This window comes from Homo sapiens, chromosome 22 (assembly GCF_000001405.40).
Source record: "Homo sapiens chromosome 22, GRCh38.p14 Primary Assembly".
Lineage (NCBI taxonomy): Eukaryota > Metazoa > Chordata > Mammalia > Primates > Hominidae > Homo > Homo sapiens.
The window spans coordinates 38,111,023-38,129,914 of record NC_000022.11 but is presented as its reverse complement, the minus strand read 5'-3'; the positions used below and the strand labels follow the sequence as shown (position 1 = coordinate 38,129,914).

The following is an 18,892-nucleotide window of genomic DNA, read 5'->3' as shown; positions in this document are numbered from 1 at the left end:
TCAGCAGCTGACCTACTGTGTCCCCATGGCTCCTGGGTCGGGGTCACAGATGCACTGCATCTTTGGAGGCGGAGCTGGCAGAGCAGGGGCGAGTCACTTCTAGTTTCTGCCTGGGTTCTTACACCCTCCCCTGTGGGTGCTTTTAAGCCTGTTTGTCAGGTCCCCAGCCATCAAATGGCAGACTTTGGACTACCAGATTGACTTGGGTGGGGGTGAGGAGGGTTCCAGTGTCTCCCCGTGCTGAGGAGAGGCCCGCTGGGTGAGTTGACAGGTTGGGGCTGGCAGCCAGGGGCCCCTTTGTTCTTCACTTCCCCGGCAGTTGCACGTCTTATCCTCTCTCCATCTCCAACAGAAAGACAACGTGGAGATGATCAAGGCCCTCATCGTGTTCGGAGCAGAAGTGGACACCCCGAATGACTTTGGGGAGACTCCTACATTCCTAGCCTCCAAAATCGGCAGACGTATGTGCTCTGCACTCTGGGGCTGGAGTGGGGTGAGGGTTGGGTGGATACAGGGACCGAGGAGGAGGGAAGTCCCAGGCATCAGGTGCCAGCATCCTGTGCTGACCCGCCCTGCTCAGAGCTGCCAGGAGCACCTCGTACTCAGAGAGGGGGCTTCCTTACCCAAGCACAAGGGCCCTGAGCAGTAGATGCAGGCCCACCACGGGGCTTGCTATACCAGCATCCTCTCCCGTGCAGCGCCCCCCACCTCAGGGAGCTAAGATTCCCAGCAGGGGTGGGGACAGGAGAGCCAGCAGCAGCCTTCTTTCCCCACCGTTGGGGAATTCACTGATGGAACCACTGGCTAGAATGACCAAGGGTGCATGCACTACACTGCACGAGCTCTGGGCATGCCTGTGTGGGCAGAGTGCATGGCCATGTGCTGCACGCTCGCACAGTGAGCCTTAGCTTCAGAGCTGGACAGAGCAGATCCTCCTCACCAGAGGCCTGGAGCCCGCTCTGGAGGGTTTCAGCAGCTGTGGGGGTCACTGTGGGCAGGTACCTGATGGCAGCAGTGTGTGTGTGCCAGTGCACACGTGTGTGTCTGCATGCACCGCATCTATGACCTCCTTTTCAGCAATCCCATCCATCAAATGGAGTAGGTGCCCCCTGGCTGGCTCATTAGTCCCTTTGGAACCCTGAACTATCACTTAGCATTTTTGAGAATCACTGAATGTGGCCATGGGATTCCTGCTTTCTTGGCTGGAGTAGAAGGAAAGAAGGGGTTCCCACAGGCATCGGGCAGGGTGACACTGACCTCCTCCTCCCATATCCTCCTTCCCTGGCCTTAGGAAGCTGCTTGGGATGTACCAGCCTGGGGGCAGCACTCCCTGTCAGGGTGGGCTGAGGCCTCTGGAGCAGCCCACGTGCCCAGGGCCTGGGAGCTGGGACAGGGGACGGAGTGTGGAAAGGAGGGGCCTCTCCTTTGCATGTTGACATCATTTCTGATCCTGTGCCATCTCCCCTTCCCCAAACCATGACAAGTTGTCACCAGGAAGGCGATCTTGACTCTGCTGAGAACCGTGGGGGCCGAATACTGCTTCCCACCCATCCACGGGGTCCCCGCGGAGCAGGGCTCTGCAGCGCCACATCATCCCTTCTCCCTGGAAAGAGCTCAGCCCCCACCGATCAGCCTAAACAACCTAGGTAGGCCTCGCCTCCCGACTCCCTCTTCTCCAGCTGGTTCCCAGGCCCCTGGATCACAGCAGGCCCCACCAAAGCAACAGGATCCCTAGGACGGAAGTCACTAAAGGAAGCCGGGGAGGATGGGGCCGGAGTTGTCAGCCTCTAGGCAGCCAGCAACCCACAGATCCCAGAGGCCTAGGGTGTCCCTGGCTGATGTCCCATGCTCCGTTGCCCCTGAGAGGATGTGTCCTGCACACAGTCTCAGGCCTGGGCATTTCCAGTGGCACCCATGAGGTGGCTGCTGTTACTGCCCTCCTGTCCCCAGGGCGTTCAGGGTGGGCAGTGAGGAGTGCTGTCGGGGGACTGGGGGCCCGGGCCCTCTGGCTTCACCTGTCCCTCTGGCTTCACCTCTATCACACTGTTTGAATCTCGGTTGGGCCTGAGACCTGTGTGCCCCCTTCCTGGCCCCGTGGTGACTTTCAGACGTTGAATGTGGCCAGGCAGCCAGCATCTGCCCCGGTGCATTCCTTGGTGCCCAGGGAGACATCCCCAGACTAGACAGGACCCTTCTCTGGACTTTCTGTGGGCTGGCCCACTCAGGGACCTCCATTGTTTGGGAGCGGGGTCCCCTGAACAGAGGGCAGCCAGGAGCCAGTCCTTGGTGAGCCAGACTTCACTGTGGAGGCGGCAGCACCTTCAGCCAGGGTAGCCCGACCAAGCCTGGAACTCTGGAGAGGCACCGTGACTGTGGCTTCTAGTCCTGGCTCCACCTCTCTCTCCCCTCCCAGGAACTCCCCCTCCACCTCCCATCTTTATCTCTCAATTTTGCAGGCAGTCACCCAAGCCAGGCCGGATGGTGGGCCTGGGGTGCGGCGTCAGATGGGTAACGCCCTGGGCCTGGAGAGGCCACCGAGCCTAGCCATGCGGCATTAGCTCTAGCTCTCACTCCCTAATCCGTCCTTCTTAGCTGCGCACACACCACACGCCCCCTCCCCTGCACCCTGTCCCCGGCCTCTCTCAGCCACTCTTCTGCTTCCCTTGTTCACTGTGGAGCCGTGTGCCCTGGGGAGGGGGAGACACCGCTTCGCAGCCCTCGGTTCTGCTTTGCTGCTTCTAGACTCTGCACAGTGGTGGGGGGCTGTCAGAGTTGGGGTCACGCGGGCTGCTGCACCAGGCACCTGGGGACTGGGCTGCTTGTCAGGAGGGGCAGCTAGTCAGTTGGGTGGACGTCAGGCAGGCCTTGGACACAAAGGAAGACATGGACAGAGTGGATGGTGGGCCTGATCCCGGAGGCCACTGGGATTTCCAGACCTGGGATCAGGACGAGGGATGTCTCCTTTCATCCATGGACTTAAACCCCGAGGAACGTCCTGACTCAGCCTTTTGACTAAATGACCTTGGGTGAATTATGGACCCTCTTAGAGCCTCACCTGTCAATAGGGAATAAGAATTCTTAGGCCCCAGGTGGTTATTGCAGCATCGGCTCCGATGCAAGAAGAAGCACTTTGTCTGAAGAGGACACGCAAGGGTATTCATGCCTTGGGGTTTCAAGAGGAAGAGATTGAGGGGAACCTGGGAGCTGGCTGGGCAGGGTGGGGAGCCCTTCCCAGAGCAGTGGGCCCCCCTTTCCACTCCAGCCCATTTCTCTCCTGTGGCCTGTGGCTCAGCTTTCTCCTGGGACAGAGTCCTTCCTGTGGGGAAGGGACAGATGACAGGGGGAGTGGGGGGATGAGGGCGTGGCCGTGGGCGAGGCACAGCCCAGGTTTGATCTAGGGACCTCTGGGGTAGCAGGGCTTGGGGACCCACCTGACCACAGCATGCCCTGCTCTGTGCCTCACAGAACTACAGGATCTCATGCACATCTCACGGGCCCGGAAGCCAGCGTTCATCCTGGGCTCCATGAGGGACGAGAAGCGGACGTAAGTGGATCGAGATCGGGGGCAGAGCGGGGAACGTGTGCGCTTTCCTGCCCCTCACCCACCCCCTGTTGTGGGCTCAGGGCTTTACTCTCTGCACCCTCACAGCCGGCGAAGTGGCTCTGCTCCTAGTCTTATAGTTCTCAGCAGAGACAGAACATGGAGAGCCTGTGTCGCTCGTTCATTAATGCTGGGCGGTGCAGGCTCTGGAGACCAGCCCAGGGTGCCAGGCTTCTTGGACTTGGTGGGGCTGGCGCAGTGTTCTGGCCTCCCTCCCTGATCTCCTTATGGCTAGAAGAGGGGGAGATGCCTGGGTCCCCCCTGGGGAGATCTCAGCAGCTGCTTCCCACTGCTCCTACTGGCTTCCTTAACCACCTCCCACTGCAGAATAGTGGCGTGGGCTGCCTTCCCCAGCACCTGCTGTATACCTAGTCCCATTGTAAGAGGCGGGCCTGGGTGACAGGATGCAAAGAGAAGACGCCCAGGCCTTGCCCTTCAGGCATAATCCCGGGTGCTTGAACTCAGTGCCAGCTGGCACGGCAAGGTACCAGGACAAATGCGTTTCCAGCCACTGTGCTGTCGCCACCTCCCTTGATTGCTGCAGTTGATTCATTTATTCTTTATTAGTCTCTCATGTTCCTAATAGCCTTCCCAGGGAGGAATTTGTAACCTTGTTTTACAGATGCAGAACCTGAGCCCCTGAGAGGTGAAGTGACTTGCTCAAGGTCACACGGAGTGAGTGTCAGGGTGGCAACTCACAGCCGGGTCTTCCGAACCCACGTCCTTTGTGCTACCGCAGGCTCTCTCTGGGTTCTCTGTGGACTCTATACCTAGTGCCAGCCCTCTGCAGGGAAAGCTCTCTTCTCAGAATCAGAGGCAGCTCCACTCCCAGGGCCAGGCAGTGATCGTGCAGCTCTGTGGGTCCTCTCACTTCGCACTCACTTCCATGCTACCCTGTTGTGTGCCCTGGAGGTTCCCCTGCCCCATCAGCATTCCCTCCCCTGTGCCCCCTGCATGCTCTTGCACGCGGGCACACGCACACACACACGCACACATGCACGCACACACACCCACATGCACATGCCTGCGGGTTGCCCACATGCATGTGTTGCCCACATGCAAACACATGGACACGCACACACATGCACACATGCAAACACACGTGCATGCACACACATACACATGCGCACACATACACATGCATGCATGCACATGGACACCCACACACATGCACACACATGTACACACATGCATGTACATACACACACCTGTGCAGGGGCTGAGGTGAGGCAGCTGCACCTGAAGGGGGGACCCACATTTCCCAAGGGAGGAAAAGCAGATTCCCCAGATTCTGGAGCCTCAGAACCCTGCCTGGAGCGGGGCTGAGGCAAGAGTCAGGAGACCCCTCGGTAGCTCCCCACTTGGGCCTTCCAAGCTACAGAGCCCTGCGCCCTCTGGGTTGATCTCTGTCGCCAGCCCCGCATCTTCGGGAGTTTGCTTTGGCCTCCAGCAACAGTGTAGTCTCTCCCCTGCCACCTCTAGGCTTGCTGTGGGGCTGGGTACCTGGTCCAGGAAAAGACCCCTAGAGGTGGGACCCGGGCCTCCTCCATTTATCAGCCCTCTTGGGCACCTCCTGCATCCCCTTGACACACAGCGCTGCCCAGAGCAGAGGCGGCTTCTGCCCTGGTGGAGCTTCCAGGTCAGCGCAGGAGAGAGTAAAAGAAAGATTGCGAATGGAATGGAAGCAGCCTCCACCAGGAAGCAGGTGGAGCAGCAGGCGGGCTGTGAGGGAGGGTCTCGATGGCATCAGGGCAGGCTTCTCTCAGCTTCATCAAGCTGAGATGGGAAGATGAGAAGATCAGAGGAAGGTTCCAGACTGAACCAACCACAAAGGCATTCCCCCAGGGCATGGCCAATGAGGACAGGCAGGATGTGGGGAGACGTGTCAGGGCGCGCTGGAGAGCATGTGACTCAGGAGGCGGCAGACCTGGGTCCAGGTCCAGTCCGCATCCATATGACTTGGTTCCCGTCACCTAACCTCTGAGCTACACTCCCTCCGTCACTCAAAAATATGCACAGAGAGTAGGCGCAGTGGCTCCTGCCTGTAGTCCCAGCTACTCGGGAGGATCACTTGAGCTCAGAAGGTTGAGGCTGCCGTGAACTGTGATTGCACCACCACACACCAGCCTGGGTGACAGAGTGAGACCCTGTCTCTATAAATAAATAAATAAATAAATAAGGCTGGGCACGGTGGCTCGTGCCTGTAATCCCAGCACTTTGGGAGGCCGAGACAGGCGGATCACATGAGGTCGGGAGTTCAAGACCAGCCTGGCCAACATGGAGAAACCCCGTCTCTATTAAAAATACAAAATTAGCTGGGTGTGGTGGCGGGCACCTGTGATCCCAGCTACTCGGGAGGTTGAGGCAGGAGAATCGTTTGAACCCGGGAGGCAGAGGTTGCGGTGAGCCGAGATCGCGTTATTGCACTCCAGCCTGGGCAACAAGAGTGAAACTCCGTCTCTAAATAAATAAGCACAGGGATGTCAGGGAGGGTCTGCCTCAGAGGCGTTTGGGACAATGACATGAGCTAATGCTGGTAGCACCCCTCCCATAGCCCCTGGCATGAACCTCTCCCTTCCTCCCTGCCCCCTCCTCCCCTGCTTCTTCCACCTTGTGTGGAGGCCCTGATACTCTGTCACTGCCCATTCCTGGCCTGGCTGTAGGGTCCCCGCCCCTCCTTCCCCAGCCTTATTTAATTCCAACAGACTTTATCAGGCACCTGCTTTGGATCAGGCCTGATACTGACCAAAATCAGGTGTCCCAAGTTGGGGAGACTGGCCGAGATCCTGCTGGGATGGCGCCTGGTCAGTGATGCTATCCCCCGACCTTCCTTTCCCTTTCTCTGTTGCACTCTCCAGCCCCTGAAATACTAGACATTTGTTCCTTTACTGCCCTCACCCCCACCCTCGCTGTCCTGCATAGGACAGAAGTTCCTCGGGTCCGTCTGGGTCTGTCTGCCAGGACACAGCTGCAGGGGACAAGGGCTATGAGGGTGGATGTAAAGTACTGGGCTGTGGCAGGACCCTCCTCTCTCCCACTGCTGTTCCCACTGCAGCCACGACCACCTGCTGTGCCTGGATGGAGGAGGAGTGAAAGGCCTCATCATCATCCAGCTCCTCATCGCCATCGAGAAGGCCTCGGGTGTGGCCACCAAGGACCTGTTTGACTGGGTGGCGGGCACCAGCACTGGAGGCATCCTGGCCCTGGCCATTCTGCACAGTGAGGGCGGCCCCTGGGGATGGGGCCAGGCGGGGCTGAGACCTGTGTCCTCAAGGGGCCGAGTTTGTCTTCAGGGCTTTGCAAAAAGAGAGTGGAGGAGTAGAGGAGGGCTATAAGCACTTTGAGGAGGCAGGGGCGGGGCTGCAGGTGCTGAGGTCCCAGGCTGGAAGGAGAAGGGCTGGGCCCATGGGCTTGGGTTTGGGGATCCCCCGCCCTCTGGCCACAGAGGGTAGAGCTGGCTGTGTGAAATTTTGGCATAGGAAGCGTTTCCTATCGACTGCCTTAACCCCTCCTCCCCTCACCCCTGCAAAGCAGGCACCAGGGGCCACACAGCCTGCTGCACATAAGGAATCCCATTCCCAGGGTGCACGCAGCAGGCAGTCTCAGGAATGAGGAGCCACTGAGCCTCAGGATGCCAGAGCCCTCGCCTGCACACTTCATTTTACTGGGAAATTTTACTGGGAAATTAAGTTCCCAGGTGGGGAGGGATGACGTGAAGTCACATAGCTCATCCATGGGGTCGCTGGGCTGGAGCACAGTCCCCTAGACTCCCAGCCTGGCACCTCCTAGGCCACAGGGCACTGTGTAGTCTCCTTTCACTGCCGCTTTGCGAAGGCGCCTGGCTTGCTGGACAGATAGCCGGGTGGTCAGTGTTGTGACGGCTCCTCTGTGGAGCTGTCTGAGCTTCTAGGTGCTGACAGGTGGGGAGGGGCACTGCCAGATCAGGGTCCTCAGCTCCCCCCAACCCCCTGGACATTGTCCTGGGACTCAACATGTCTGACTGGTGCCCCTGCCCCTGTGCTGGTCAGATTCCATTTTCTCCAGAGCGCCCCCACATCTGGATCCTGGTCATGCAAAGTCTTGGAGGTGCCCGGGGAGGACTCCCCACCCTAGGGTGGGTATCAGGGCCTGTGGGCCAGGCCTGTGTTGGATGCTGGGGATGCAGAGCTGAGCCAGGCATACCCCAGCCTCAGGAGCAGGGGGCTCAGCCAGTCCAGGAGGTGCTGGGGACAGAGTCCCATGGGCGGAGGAGGAGAGTCATCTGTCAAGTTGCCGGGACGTTAGTGTCCACGGCGGTTTATTGACTGGTATTTCATTTCCTTTTGATGATTCTCACCATAGCCCTGCGGGGTGAGCAGATGGGGAAACTGAGAACCAGAGAGGATCAGCCAGTGAATTGGGCAGTCAGGACTGGGTCTCCAGCAGTGTGCCCAGCTCTCTACCCCAGCCTCAGGGTCCCAGCATCCCCTCTCTGGTCTTCCACAGGGTCCAAGGGCGGGCACGAGGTCTGAGCAGGCAGACTGGGCAGAGTCCTAGCTTCTTCTCCAAAAGGGCCACGTCCTTCTTCAGGGACCATTTCTTCCCCATCCGGGGTCTTGAGACTCCCAGGGGCCATGGAGGGGATTTGAGAGGTCTCCTGGCTGATCCTCCGGTGTGGGCAGATGGCCTCCTTTCAGCTACCCTCTGCTTGTACATCCCTGGCCCTGGGGAACTCACTGCCTCACGGGGGAAGTGGGGCAGCTTCTCCTTCCTGGAGGTGCAGCCGGCCCCTTGGCCCTGTCTGTTCTGAAGGCTCAAAGGACAGGGCTATTCCTTGTTTTCTGTGACAAACAACGTGGGTCTAGCTTTTATAAGCTTTTACTCTTGAGGGGCTCTTCTTTAAGGAAAATAATACAAAATCATGAATACAAGATGAAGTGCAGAGCCGTGGGGCTTCAGTGGTTTTTGAGTCTCTCCGTTGCCCAGGCTGGAGTGCAGTGGTGCATCTTGGCTCACTGCAACCTCCGCTCCCGGGTTCAAGCGATTCTCCTGCCTCTCAGCCTCCCGAGTAGCTGGGACTACAGGCGCCCGCCACCACACCTGGCGAATTTTTGTATTTTTAATAGACGGGGTTTCACCATGTTGGGCAGGCTGGTCTCAAACTCCTGACCTCAAGTGATCCACCTGCCTCAGCCTCCCAAAGTGCTGGGATTACAGGCGCGAGCCACCATGTCCAGCCGGAAGGAGGTTTCTCTCTGTCTGTCTGGGAGGTTGCAAAGGAAGGGCCCAGAATTTGGGTTTGCTTAGGCCTCGGTAAACCCGCTTCCTCCTGCCACCTCCTGCGTTCAGGCGCTCTGCAGGCTGTTCTACGGGAGCCCTGCGTGTGGCCGCTGCATCTCCCCGCCTCTGACCCCTTTGTTCCTAGGTAAGTCCATGGCCTACATGCGCGGCATGTACTTTCGCATGAAGGATGAGGTGTTCCGGGGCTCCAGGCCCTACGAGTCGGGGCCCCTGGAGGAGTTCCTGAAGCGGGAGTTTGGGGAGCACACCAAGATGACGGACGTCAGGAAACCCAAGTAAGCCCTGGCGCACTGGGGCCGTGGCCGCAGCTGTGCCCACTGTGGCTGTTCCCTGGGGACAGAGGGCTCCCTGTCCTGCTGAGGGAGGGGGAAGAGCGCCCCACGCTTGAGGGGAGCAGAGGGAACCCCCTTCCCAGGGAGGCAGAGGGCTGGGGTGTGGCTCTCACTTGGGCATGCAGACACCTGCTGAGCGCAGGAGGGGCGTGGCCTGGTGGGCCTGGCTCTGCCCTGCCTGGCTCTGCCCTGCCCGGCTCTGCCCTGCCGGCTCTGCCCTGCCTGGCTCTGCCCTGCCCGGCCAGGGGTCTGGGGCTTGCCTGGAGAGAGCCTGGGCCACCCTTCTCTGAGACCACCTGGGCAGAGGCTGGGTTTTTGCTGCCCAGGCAAAAGGAACCCACTGGCCTTTCAAATGACACGGCTAAACATTTTCTCACATTTCAGACAGCACTCGCTCCCAGGATCGGACTACTAGGTTATAATCAGAGGGCTTCAGTCTTACCTTTAATTTAAGGCCTACAAGACTTGAACTAATTTAAGTCAGACTGAAGGAGAAAGTCACATTTCCAGGAAACATTTGTTTGGGAAGCCCAAATCCTAGGACTAAGCAATGCATCCCGTTCGGGGCTGGATGAATGGTGTGTTCCAAGAGGAGTGTTTTGAGCATTTCTGAGTGATTTTTTCATATTTTGAAAGTGAGTGTCCCCCAGTCTTAGGGGCCCGGCATCCCCTCTGCGGTCTTCCCTAGGGTCCAAGGCCAGGGACCTTCAATCTTTTTTCCCACTCTGTGGCTTGTCTTTCTGCTCTGTGGTGTTTCTAGGTTTTTGTTTTTTGTTTTTTGTTTTGGTTTTGGTTTTGGTGGCCCATGTTCTTAATGAGGTAGATAATATTTATAAATATTTTTCTTCTTGTAGTTTGTGATTTTTTCCTTTCTTTCTTTCTTTTTTTTGAAACAGGGTCTTGCTGTGGGGCCCATGCTGGAGTATATTGCTGTGAACACGGCTTACTGCAGCCTCGACCTCCTGGGTTCAAGCAGTCCTCCCATCTCAGCCGCCTGAGTGCCTGGGACTACTAGCATGTGCCAACACATGTATTTTTTGTAGAGATGGGGTTTCACCATGTTGTCCAGGCTAGTCTTGAACTCCTGAGCTGAGGCGATCCTCCCGCCTTGGTTTCCCATTACAGGCATCAGCCACCATGCCCAGCCTAGTTTGTGCTTTTTATTTCTCGTTCATAAACCCCTTTGCTGCCCCCAAGCAGCACACGATTCTCCTGTGTCGAGCTGGAAAGCTCTCTAGATCTGCCTTTTACATTGAGGTCTTTTATCAACCTGGAATTGATTTTTGTATGAGGGTGAAATCCAAGATCCAATTTAATGTTTTCCACGTGATTGGCCAATTTTTCCCAGCCCCATCTGTGAAGTCTGTCCTTCCCTCCGCTTCCTCAGCAGTGGGTCAAGCATCCCTCTGCTCTTGGATCTGCTCCAGGCTGTGTTTTGTTCCACTGGTTGGAAAGCTGTCTCTGTGCCCGGACCACAGAGCATAAAAAACTACCGCTGTGTGGTGAGTCCTGGTGTCTGGGTGGCAGATCCTCCACCTTGGCCTTCTTCAAAAACATCATGGCTATTCTTGGGGGCAGTAGAGAGAAGTGGATACAAGCATAGACCCTGAAGTTTCTACCTCTTCTCAAAAATAGGAATATGCCAGGCATGGTGGCTCAAGCCTGTAATCCCAGCTCTTTGGGAGGCTGAGGCAGGAGGATCACTTGAGGCCAGGAGGTCGAGACCAGCCTGGGCAACATAGTGAGACCCTCATCTCTACAAAAAATTTAAAACTAACAATTAGCTGGGCATGGTGGCACTATGGCTGTAGTCCCAGCTAATTGAGAGGCTGAGGTGGGAGGATCACTTGAGCCCCGGAGGCTGAGGCTACAGTGGGCTGTGATCCCATCACTGCACTCCAGCCTGGGCAATAGAGTGAGACCCTGTCTTAAGACAAAAAAAAAAAAACAAAAACAAACAAACTCACAAACTATAAAAAGAAAAAATATTTATAAATTCTACTCCATTAAGAACATGGGTCCATCCAAATAAATAAATAAAACAAAAACACCATAAAGGGAGTAAAAAGACAAGCCACAGAGTGGGAGAAAAGATTTCGAATCCATACATCCATCAAAGGACTCATTTTCAAAATATGAAAAGATCATTCAGAAATGCTCAAAATAGTAACCACCATTTTACTTTCTCTTCCTATGAGTTTAACTGCTCCAGGTACTGTTAAGTAAAATTTTTAGGGGATAATTGATTTGGACCAGGATTCTGTACCAGGCCCAACAGAAGAAACGAATATGGAGTCATTCATGCCAAGTGAACCTAGTTAGCTTAGGCGTATACCCATGTAACAAATAGCTGAGTTCTGGTTAGCTACAACAGCTAAGCTTTAATCAATCATAGATGGCCACCTGATTCAAACAAGGCAAACCAATTAAGCTCCACACCTCACTTTGGTTTTCAGCCCATCAACACTGCCTGACCACGTTGCAGGCCAGAGTTCTTTGAACCTATTCTGGTTTTGTGGCCTGCCTGACTCTCAGTTCATCAATAAAAGCCAATTAACATCTTTAAATTTGTTGCAATTTTATCTTTGACCGTACCTTATGTAAGTGGAATCATACAGTATTTGTCTTTTTGTGACTGGCTTATTTCTTTCTTTTTTTTTTTTTTTGAGATGGAGTCTTGCTCTATCACCCAGGCTGGAGTGCAGTGGCGCGATCTCGGCTCACTGCAATTTCTGCTTCCCAGGTTCAAGTGATTCTCCTGCCTCAGCCTCCGGAGTAGCTGGGATTATAGGCGTGCACCACCATGCCCGGCTAATTTTTTGTATTTTAGTAGAGACAGGGTTTCACCATGTTGGCCAGGCCAGTCTCAAACTCCTAACCTCGTGATCCACCCACCTCGGCCTCCCAAAGTGCTGGGATTACAGGGGTGAGCCACCGTGCCCGGCCATGACTGGCTTATTTCACTTGGCATCCATGTTGTAGCGTGTGTCAGAATTTCCTTCCTTTTTAAGGCTGAAAAACTCCATTGTCTGTTGGATACACGTTTTGCTTCTCCATTCATCCATTGATGGATATTTTAGTTGTAAATTGACTGCTGTCAATGTCGGATGTGCAAATACCTGTTTGAGGCCTACTCTCTCTTACTGGTGCCTTCTCTAGAGAGAATTCTGATGGGTTCAGTTTGATCATATTTTGTTTAAGATTTTTGGCCAGGCGCAGTGGCTCACGCTTGTAATCCCAGCACTTTGGGAGGCCGAGGTGGGCGGATCATGAGGTCAGGAGATCAAGACCACAGTGAAACCCCATCTCTACTAAAAATACAAAAAATTAGCCGGGCGTGGTGGCGGGCGCCTGTAGTCCCAGCTACTCAGAGAGGCTGAGGCAGGAGAATGGCGTGAACCCGGGAGGCAGATCTTGCAGTGAGCCGAGATTGCGCCACTGTACTACAGCCTGGGCAACAGAGTGAGACTCCGTCTCAAAAAAAAGATTTTTGTGTCCACGCTCGTGGGCGAACTTGACCCGTTTTTTCCTATTTTGGGTTTTGAGGAAATATTTCCTCTTTTTATTTTTCTTGGAAGAGTTAGTATAATAGTTTATTTTGAATTTATGGTAGAACTTGATAGTAAATTCTTCTAGGCCTGGAGTTTGCTTGGTGGGAGGATTTTTGATGATGGAATTAATTTCTATAGTGGTTGTGAGACTGACCACTCGGGGTTTCTAAATACCTTTTTGAGTTAGTTTTGGTTAAGTGAGGTTTTTCTAGGAATGTGTCCATTTCATCTAAATCTTTAAGCTTATTGGCTTAGAGTTGTTCAAAATATTCTGTTTTTTTTTTTTTTTTTTTTTTTTTGAGACGGAGTTTCACTCTTATCGCCCAGGCTGGAGTGCAATGACGTGATCTCGGCTCACTGCAACCTCTGCCTCCTGGGTTCAAGCAATTCTCTTGCTTCAGCCTCCCAAGTAGCTGGGATTACAGGCATGCGCAACCACACCTAATTTTTGTATTATTAGTAGAGACGGGGTTTCCCCATGTTGGCCAGGCTGGTCTCGAACTCCTGACCTCAGGTGATCCACCTGCCTCGGCCTCCCAAAGTGCTGGGATTACAGACATGAGCCACCATGCCCAGCCGATTCTCCTTTTTCTAACGTCTGCAGTGTGTGTTGGTGCGGCCCCCTTTTCTTTCCTGATTTTGATAACAGATAACAGCCATGTTTTATCAGTCTTGCAACAGGTTTTTCCATTGGATTAGCCTTTCAAAAAAACCAACTTTTGCTGAATTGTGCCCCCAAGGTTGGACCAATCTGACACTCCTCCAGCACTGCCGGAGAGAGCCTGTTTTGCGGGGATGGTGCGGGGAGAAGCCCACCTATCCCGAACAGAGGTTGGAGTGGGCACTCTGCTACCCAAGGCCCTGGGGTGTGAATTGTGGGGAAAGGGAAAGGTGGATGGGCGGGTGGCTCAGCCGTCCTCCTGCCTCATTTCTCTCCAGGGTGATGCTGACAGGGACACTGTCTGACCGGCAGCCGGCTGAACTCCACCTCTTCCGGAACTACGATGCTCCAGAAACTGTCCGGGAGCCTCGTTTCAACCAGAACGTTAACCTCAGGCCTCCAGCTCAGCCCTCAGGTTTAAACCATGTTTGATGCATCCATGGGAAGCGACTGGCCCGAGAGGCTGTGGGGTGGTGGGTGGGAGTCGTGCACTTGCCATCAGGCACCCTCACCGTGCCACCAGCCCACCCGCTGCACTGGTCTTTATTGGCTGAGGACAGGGATTGCGGGGGAGCTGTCAGGCCCCTGGCAGGTTAGAAAAGTCCCTGGAAAGTCCTCAGCTGTACCTGCCTTCCACCAGGACGAACTAGCCAGAGAGTGTGGCTTCGTGGGTCCTGCTTCTGAAGAGTTCCCAGCCTCCCCTCTTCCCGCACCCCCAGCCCCCAACACGCACACCCTGAGATCTGGAGTGCATGGGTTTTATGCCAGTCCCTTGTGCCACTGGGCCGCCCTCCTTCCCCGCCCCTAGACCAGCTGGTGTGGCGGGCGGCCCGAAGCAGCGGGGCAGCTCCTACTTACTTCCGACCCAATGGGCGCTTCCTGGACGGTGGGCTGCTGGCCAACAACCCCACGCTGGATGCCATGACCGAGATCCATGAGTACAATCAGGACCTGATCCGCAAGGTGAGTGCCGTAGGCCAGAGGGCCTGGACCCACTGCTCCCTGGAGCCAATCCTGTGTCAGCAAACCATGCTAGGGACCGACCCCCAGGACAGCAGGTGGCTTTTACACACGCACTCATTCATATGTGCACACAGGGCAAATTGATCTCACTGGAACCTGTTCCATGGGTGGGATCTGCCTGAAGCACTGTGCTAAGGGGGATCTGAGGACCACTGTGCTCTAAGTGTGCATGAGTGGGGAGGGCGGCATGCATACCATGAACGTGCCACTCGAGCCAGCCTGGGGACAGGACACATGCTTGCCCTTGAGCTCACCTCTGTGGATAGACAGTCCCACAGGAATGCCTGTCCCCACGGGTTGCCGGTGCTGTGGTGGAGGACCGTGAGGCCTCTGCTAAAAGGCCTGGGGGCTCGGAAAGGGCTCCATGGAACAGGGGACCCATCCTGAGGCCCTTGGGGACAGAGCAGTGCAGAATCAGTGATCTGGAGGAAGAGCAGCAGCCCTCTCTCTGCAGAGGTACAGCAGAGGCTGGCAGGACCCAGCATGCTAGGGGAGGCCCTGTGGCGTGGCGGGCGGTGGGTGACCGGGGTGGGCGAGCGCGGTGGCTGAGCTCAGACCCTGGAGCCAGGGCGCCTCTGGGGGTCCCCGTTCTGCCTGCACTCACTGCAGCTACCTAATGGGGCCATCATAGCGCCTGCCTGGGGAGGCTGCGAGGCCTTGGCATGCTGTTGTCTGTGAAATGTTCACAGCACTGCCGGGAGCCTGAGCTGCATCCTTGCTGCTGTGGTTTCCCGAAGCCCCAGGGCGTCCTGGGCAGCGCAGCAGAGGCTCTGGGCAGACAGAGAAGCGCCCTCTAGGGGCCAGATCGGGCAGGGCGGGCTTCCTGCAGGCGGCAGAGACCGTCAGACTGTCAGACACTAGCCAGTCTAACTCTCCTATTGCGTGCGGATGGGGAGCCTGGGACCCAGAGTGGGAGGCATCACCCAAGATCATCCAGCAAATCGGCAGCAGAGCTTGTTCGGAAGCAAATAAGAGAGGCAGCGGCCGGGCGCAGCGGCTCACGCCTGTAATCCCAGCACTTTGGGAGGCCGAGGCAAGTGGATCATGAGGTCAGGAGATCGAGACCATCCTGGCTAACACGGTGAAACCCTGTCTCTACTAAAAATACAAAAAAATTAGCCAGGCGGGCATAGTGGCAGGAGCCTGTAGTCCCAGCTACTCGGGATGCTGAGGCAGGAGAATGGTGTGAACCCAGGAGGCGGAGCTTGCAGTGAGCCGAGATCGCGCCACTGCACTCCAGACTGGGAGACAGAGCGAGACTCCGTCTCAAAAAAAAAAAAAAAAAGGCAGCACCCAGGGCTCAGGTTCAAGCCTTAGCCCCTACTTCCCTACCACGTGGCCCCTGCAGCTGCTTCCCGGCCTGAGCTTCGCTGAGAGCCCTCATTTGCAAACTGGGTGATCAGTGCCCTCTCCACAGACTGGCTGGAGATTAAATGAAGTAATGATGCAAATACCTGGCAAATCACCAACACCAAGGAACACCGTCTGCCTTTCCTCCCCTGGCCACGACTTGACTTGGGCCAGCATCAGATGGGGTGGGCGGGATCCTTCTTGCAGCTGGTGTATGTGTGGTCCTGTTGGTACACAGATGCTGTCCTGAGCAGATGGCATGTGATGCCCGCACCAGCCGTTCTGGGGTCACGTGCAAGAGGCTGGCTGGAAATCATGCCAGGCATGCTCTTGCCACCAGAGACCTCTTGCCCTGTTCTCATGTGCCCCAGAGCCCAGTCTTGGGCCTCCCCTTGACGCTCCCCTTCGTGCCCCCTACCTGTGGAAGGTCTCTTCTGACTGCCCCTGTCCTGTTCCCAACAGGGTCAGGCCAACAAGGTGAAGAAACTCTCCATCGTTGTCTCCCTGGGGACAGGGAGGTCCCCACAAGTGCCTGTGACCTGTGTGGATGTCTTCCGTCCCAGCAACCCCTGGGAGCTGGCCAAGACTGTTTTTGGGGCCAAGGAACTGGGCAAGATGGTGGTGGACTGTGTGAGTGTGGGCCCCTCCCCCAGGCCACTTCCCTCAGGGTCTGTAGCCCAGGTCGATGGCTTCCCCTCATCCTGTGGGGCCTTTGGTGTTGGAGGAGACAGCAGGGCTCTGTCCATCGCCTTTAGCCAGCTGGAGGGAGAGAGAGTCCACAGTTCAGAGTCTCAGTGCGGGGCAGGGACCCTCAGTGACCACCAGCAGGGGGGTTTTCAAACGCTTTTTAGCTGCGGATCCCTTTCTGCAAACATAGCGCAGTGTAGAAGCCCAGAATGGACAAAGGCTCCAGAGCGGGCTGGGCGCTCACCCTGTAATCCCAGCACTTTGGGAGGCCAAGGCAGGCGGACCACTTGAGCACAGCAGTTTGAGACCAGCCTGAGCAATATAATGAGACTTTGTCTCTACCAAAAAATTAAAAACTAGCTGGACATGGTGGTGTGTGCCTGTGGTCCCAGCTACTCAGGAGGCTGAGGTGGGAGGATTGCTTAAGCCCAAGAGGCAGAGGCTGCAGTGAGCTGTGATCATGCCACTGCACTCCAGCCTGAGCAACAGAAGGAGACCTTGTCTCAAAAAGAAAGAAAGAAAGAGAGAGAGAGAGAGAGAGGAGGGAGGGAGGGAAACTTCAGGGAGAGGGGACATGGAGGCCTGTCGACTCAGCCGCTACCCTTTCCCCCACTCATCATCCCTGAAAGGGCACTGCTGAGACCTCTGCCCCTCTGATTGCACAGCTGGGACAGTCCCTGCAGTCCCAGGAAGGGGTTTTGCCCGAGCCGCTCTGCTGCTGTGTGGCTCAGCCTGACTCGAAAGAGCCTGGGGCTCCCCAGGCTGGGGCTCCGAGAGTGCAGGGCAGGGCCGGGCGGGGTGCGGGCCGGGCGGGGTGTGGGCCCGGCACTCACCAAGGCTGCTTCTCACCAGTGCACGGATCCAGACGGGCGGGCTGTGGACCGGGCACGGGCCTGGTGCGAGATGGTCGGCATCCAGTACTTCAGGTGAGGGCTCAGCCGCCCCAGCCCTTGGCCCCGTGCCCTGGCGTGGTCGGACTCACCGACCTTCCCCTCCCAGCCCTAGTGTGGACTTTCCCTTCCCCAAGGGTCTGCTCTGTTCCCCAAGCCCACCCTGGTCCTAGCTGGCGTCCCCTGCCCAGCCTGAGCATCCTAGGGTGACCCCCTCCTCCCTGGCCCGAACAGATTGAACCCCCAGCTGGGGACGGACATCATGCTGGATGAGGTCAGTGACACAGTGCTGGTCAACGCCCTCTGGGAGACCGAGGTCTACATCTATGAGCACCGCGAGGAGTTCCAGAAGCTCATCCAGCTGCTGCTCTCACCCTGAGGGTCCCCAGCCTCTCACCGGCCCCAGCTGACCTCGTCCATTCAGCCCCTGCCAGGCCAAGCCCAGCCACTGCCCTCCCGGGCAGATCTGGGCCCAGGCACCTCTGAGTCCATAGACCAGGCCTGGGAGAATGCCAAGCTGCCTGCCCGAGGCTGGTCCTGAAGGCCTGTCTCCCACTAACCCCGCCTTCCAGCACTTTCTGTCATTCCAGGCTGGGAAAGTCTAGAGCCCCCTTTGGCCCCTTTCCCTGACTGTCAAGGACAACTGACTCCCCCATCAGCTCAAACATTAAGGGTACCCGGGCACAACCGTACCCCTGCCCCCAGCCCCAGCCTCCCTGAGGGCCTGCCGGGCTGCCTCTGCCCCAGCCCCCAGCAAGGGCACTCCCAGGCTTCCTGGTGGGTGCAGCCCACTCCCTCTGCCCTCTGCTCCGTTCCCTGGGGGCTGGGACTAAAGAAATGGGTGTCCCCCACCCCATCAGCTGGGAAAGCCCAGGCCGCAGGAGTGGGATGCCCGTTGGACTTTGCCCCTCACACTGGCCCAGCCCCTCACACTGCCCCACCCCGAGAACCCTCAGCTCTCAAAGGTCACTCCTGGGAGTTTCTTCTTCCCAATGGAAGTGGCTTAAGAGCCAAAACTGAAATAAATCATTTGGATTCAAGTTCACCTGTGTTGTGTGTGCAGTGGTGTGAGATCCACCTGTTCCCCTGACCCCCGGCTCCCCTCGGCCTTGACCCTTGGCCTTGACCGGACTTTTCCTTTGTACCCGGACACTCTGTTTTCCAGGATCCCTGGGCAGGGACACCTCCTCTTTCCTCTAGGCCTCCCCTAAACCGGCCCTTAGGGTATGCAGAGGCAGCTGCCAGGCCCACATACCCCCGGCAGGCCCAAGGAGGGCCACAATCTTCAACTTCATCTTGGAGGACCAGGGAGAGCCCCATTTGTCACCCAGAGAGGCCGGGGACTCCGCGTGGACAGGCAGCGCGTGTGCAGGGCCGAGGTCTGCCCAGGGCTGGGCAACTCCAGCGTTTGTGCTGCTCCTGCTCCGGCAAGTGGAGGAGCTGGGCGGGCCAGAGCGGCTGTGGGAGCCAAGCTCAGAGGGCGTGGCCCCACTGTGAGCCGCAGGCCTGAGGACAGT

General features: G+C 56.7%; 1 protein-coding gene across 9 annotated transcripts in view, besides 3 other annotated features; it reads left to right on the top strand.

Annotated features, from left to right (window-relative positions):
• PLA2G6 (phospholipase A2 group VI) overlaps positions 1-18,420 on the top strand; it is a 70,336-nt gene extending 51,916 nt beyond the window's left edge. For 5 of the 9 annotated variants that reach the window (NM_001349866.2, NM_001199562.3, NM_001349869.2 and 2 more), the window contains 9 exons: positions 353-461; positions 3,466-3,544; positions 6,657-6,820; positions 9,006-9,156; positions 13,704-13,840; positions 14,234-14,388; positions 16,261-16,428; positions 17,338-17,411; positions 17,610-18,420. In NM_001349866.2, coding sequence (NP_001336795.1) covers positions 353-461; positions 3,466-3,544; positions 6,657-6,820; positions 9,006-9,156; positions 13,704-13,840; positions 14,234-14,388; positions 16,261-16,428; positions 17,338-17,411; positions 17,610-17,754 — 1,182 coding nt within the window. In that variant the 3' untranslated portion in view covers positions 17,755-18,420. Of the gene's footprint in view, positions 1-352; positions 462-1,484; positions 1,647-3,465; positions 3,545-6,656; positions 6,821-9,005; positions 9,157-13,703; positions 13,841-14,233; positions 14,389-16,260; positions 16,429-17,337; positions 17,412-17,609 lie in introns of all 9 variants that reach the window. The other 4 variants (NM_001349868.2, NM_001349867.2, NM_001349864.2 and 1 more) reach the window with 1 other exon arrangement.
• Positions 6,804-7,313: an enhancer, noted in NCBI's record as "H3K4me1 hESC enhancer chr22:38518609-38519118 (GRCh37/hg19 assembly coordinates)". NCBI's record gives its function as "activates a minimal SCP1, AML or CMV promoter by ChIP-STARR-seq in naive H9 embryonic stem cells {active_cell/tissue: H9 hESC(naive)}" and the evidence as "EXISTENCE:reporter gene assay evidence [ECO:0000049][PMID:30033119]".
• Positions 14,499-15,401: an enhancer, noted in NCBI's record as "H3K27ac-H3K4me1 hESC enhancer chr22:38510521-38511423 (GRCh37/hg19 assembly coordinates)". NCBI's record gives its function as "activates a minimal SCP1, AML or CMV promoter by ChIP-STARR-seq in naive H9 embryonic stem cells {active_cell/tissue: H9 hESC(naive)}" and the evidence as "EXISTENCE:reporter gene assay evidence [ECO:0000049][PMID:30033119]".
• Positions 14,970-15,149: an enhancer, noted in NCBI's record as "active region_18992". NCBI's record gives its function as "activates an Ori minimal core promoter by ATAC-STARR-seq in GM12878 lymphoblastoid cells {active_cell/tissue: GM12878}" and the evidence as "EXISTENCE:reporter gene assay evidence [ECO:0000049][PMID:35858748]".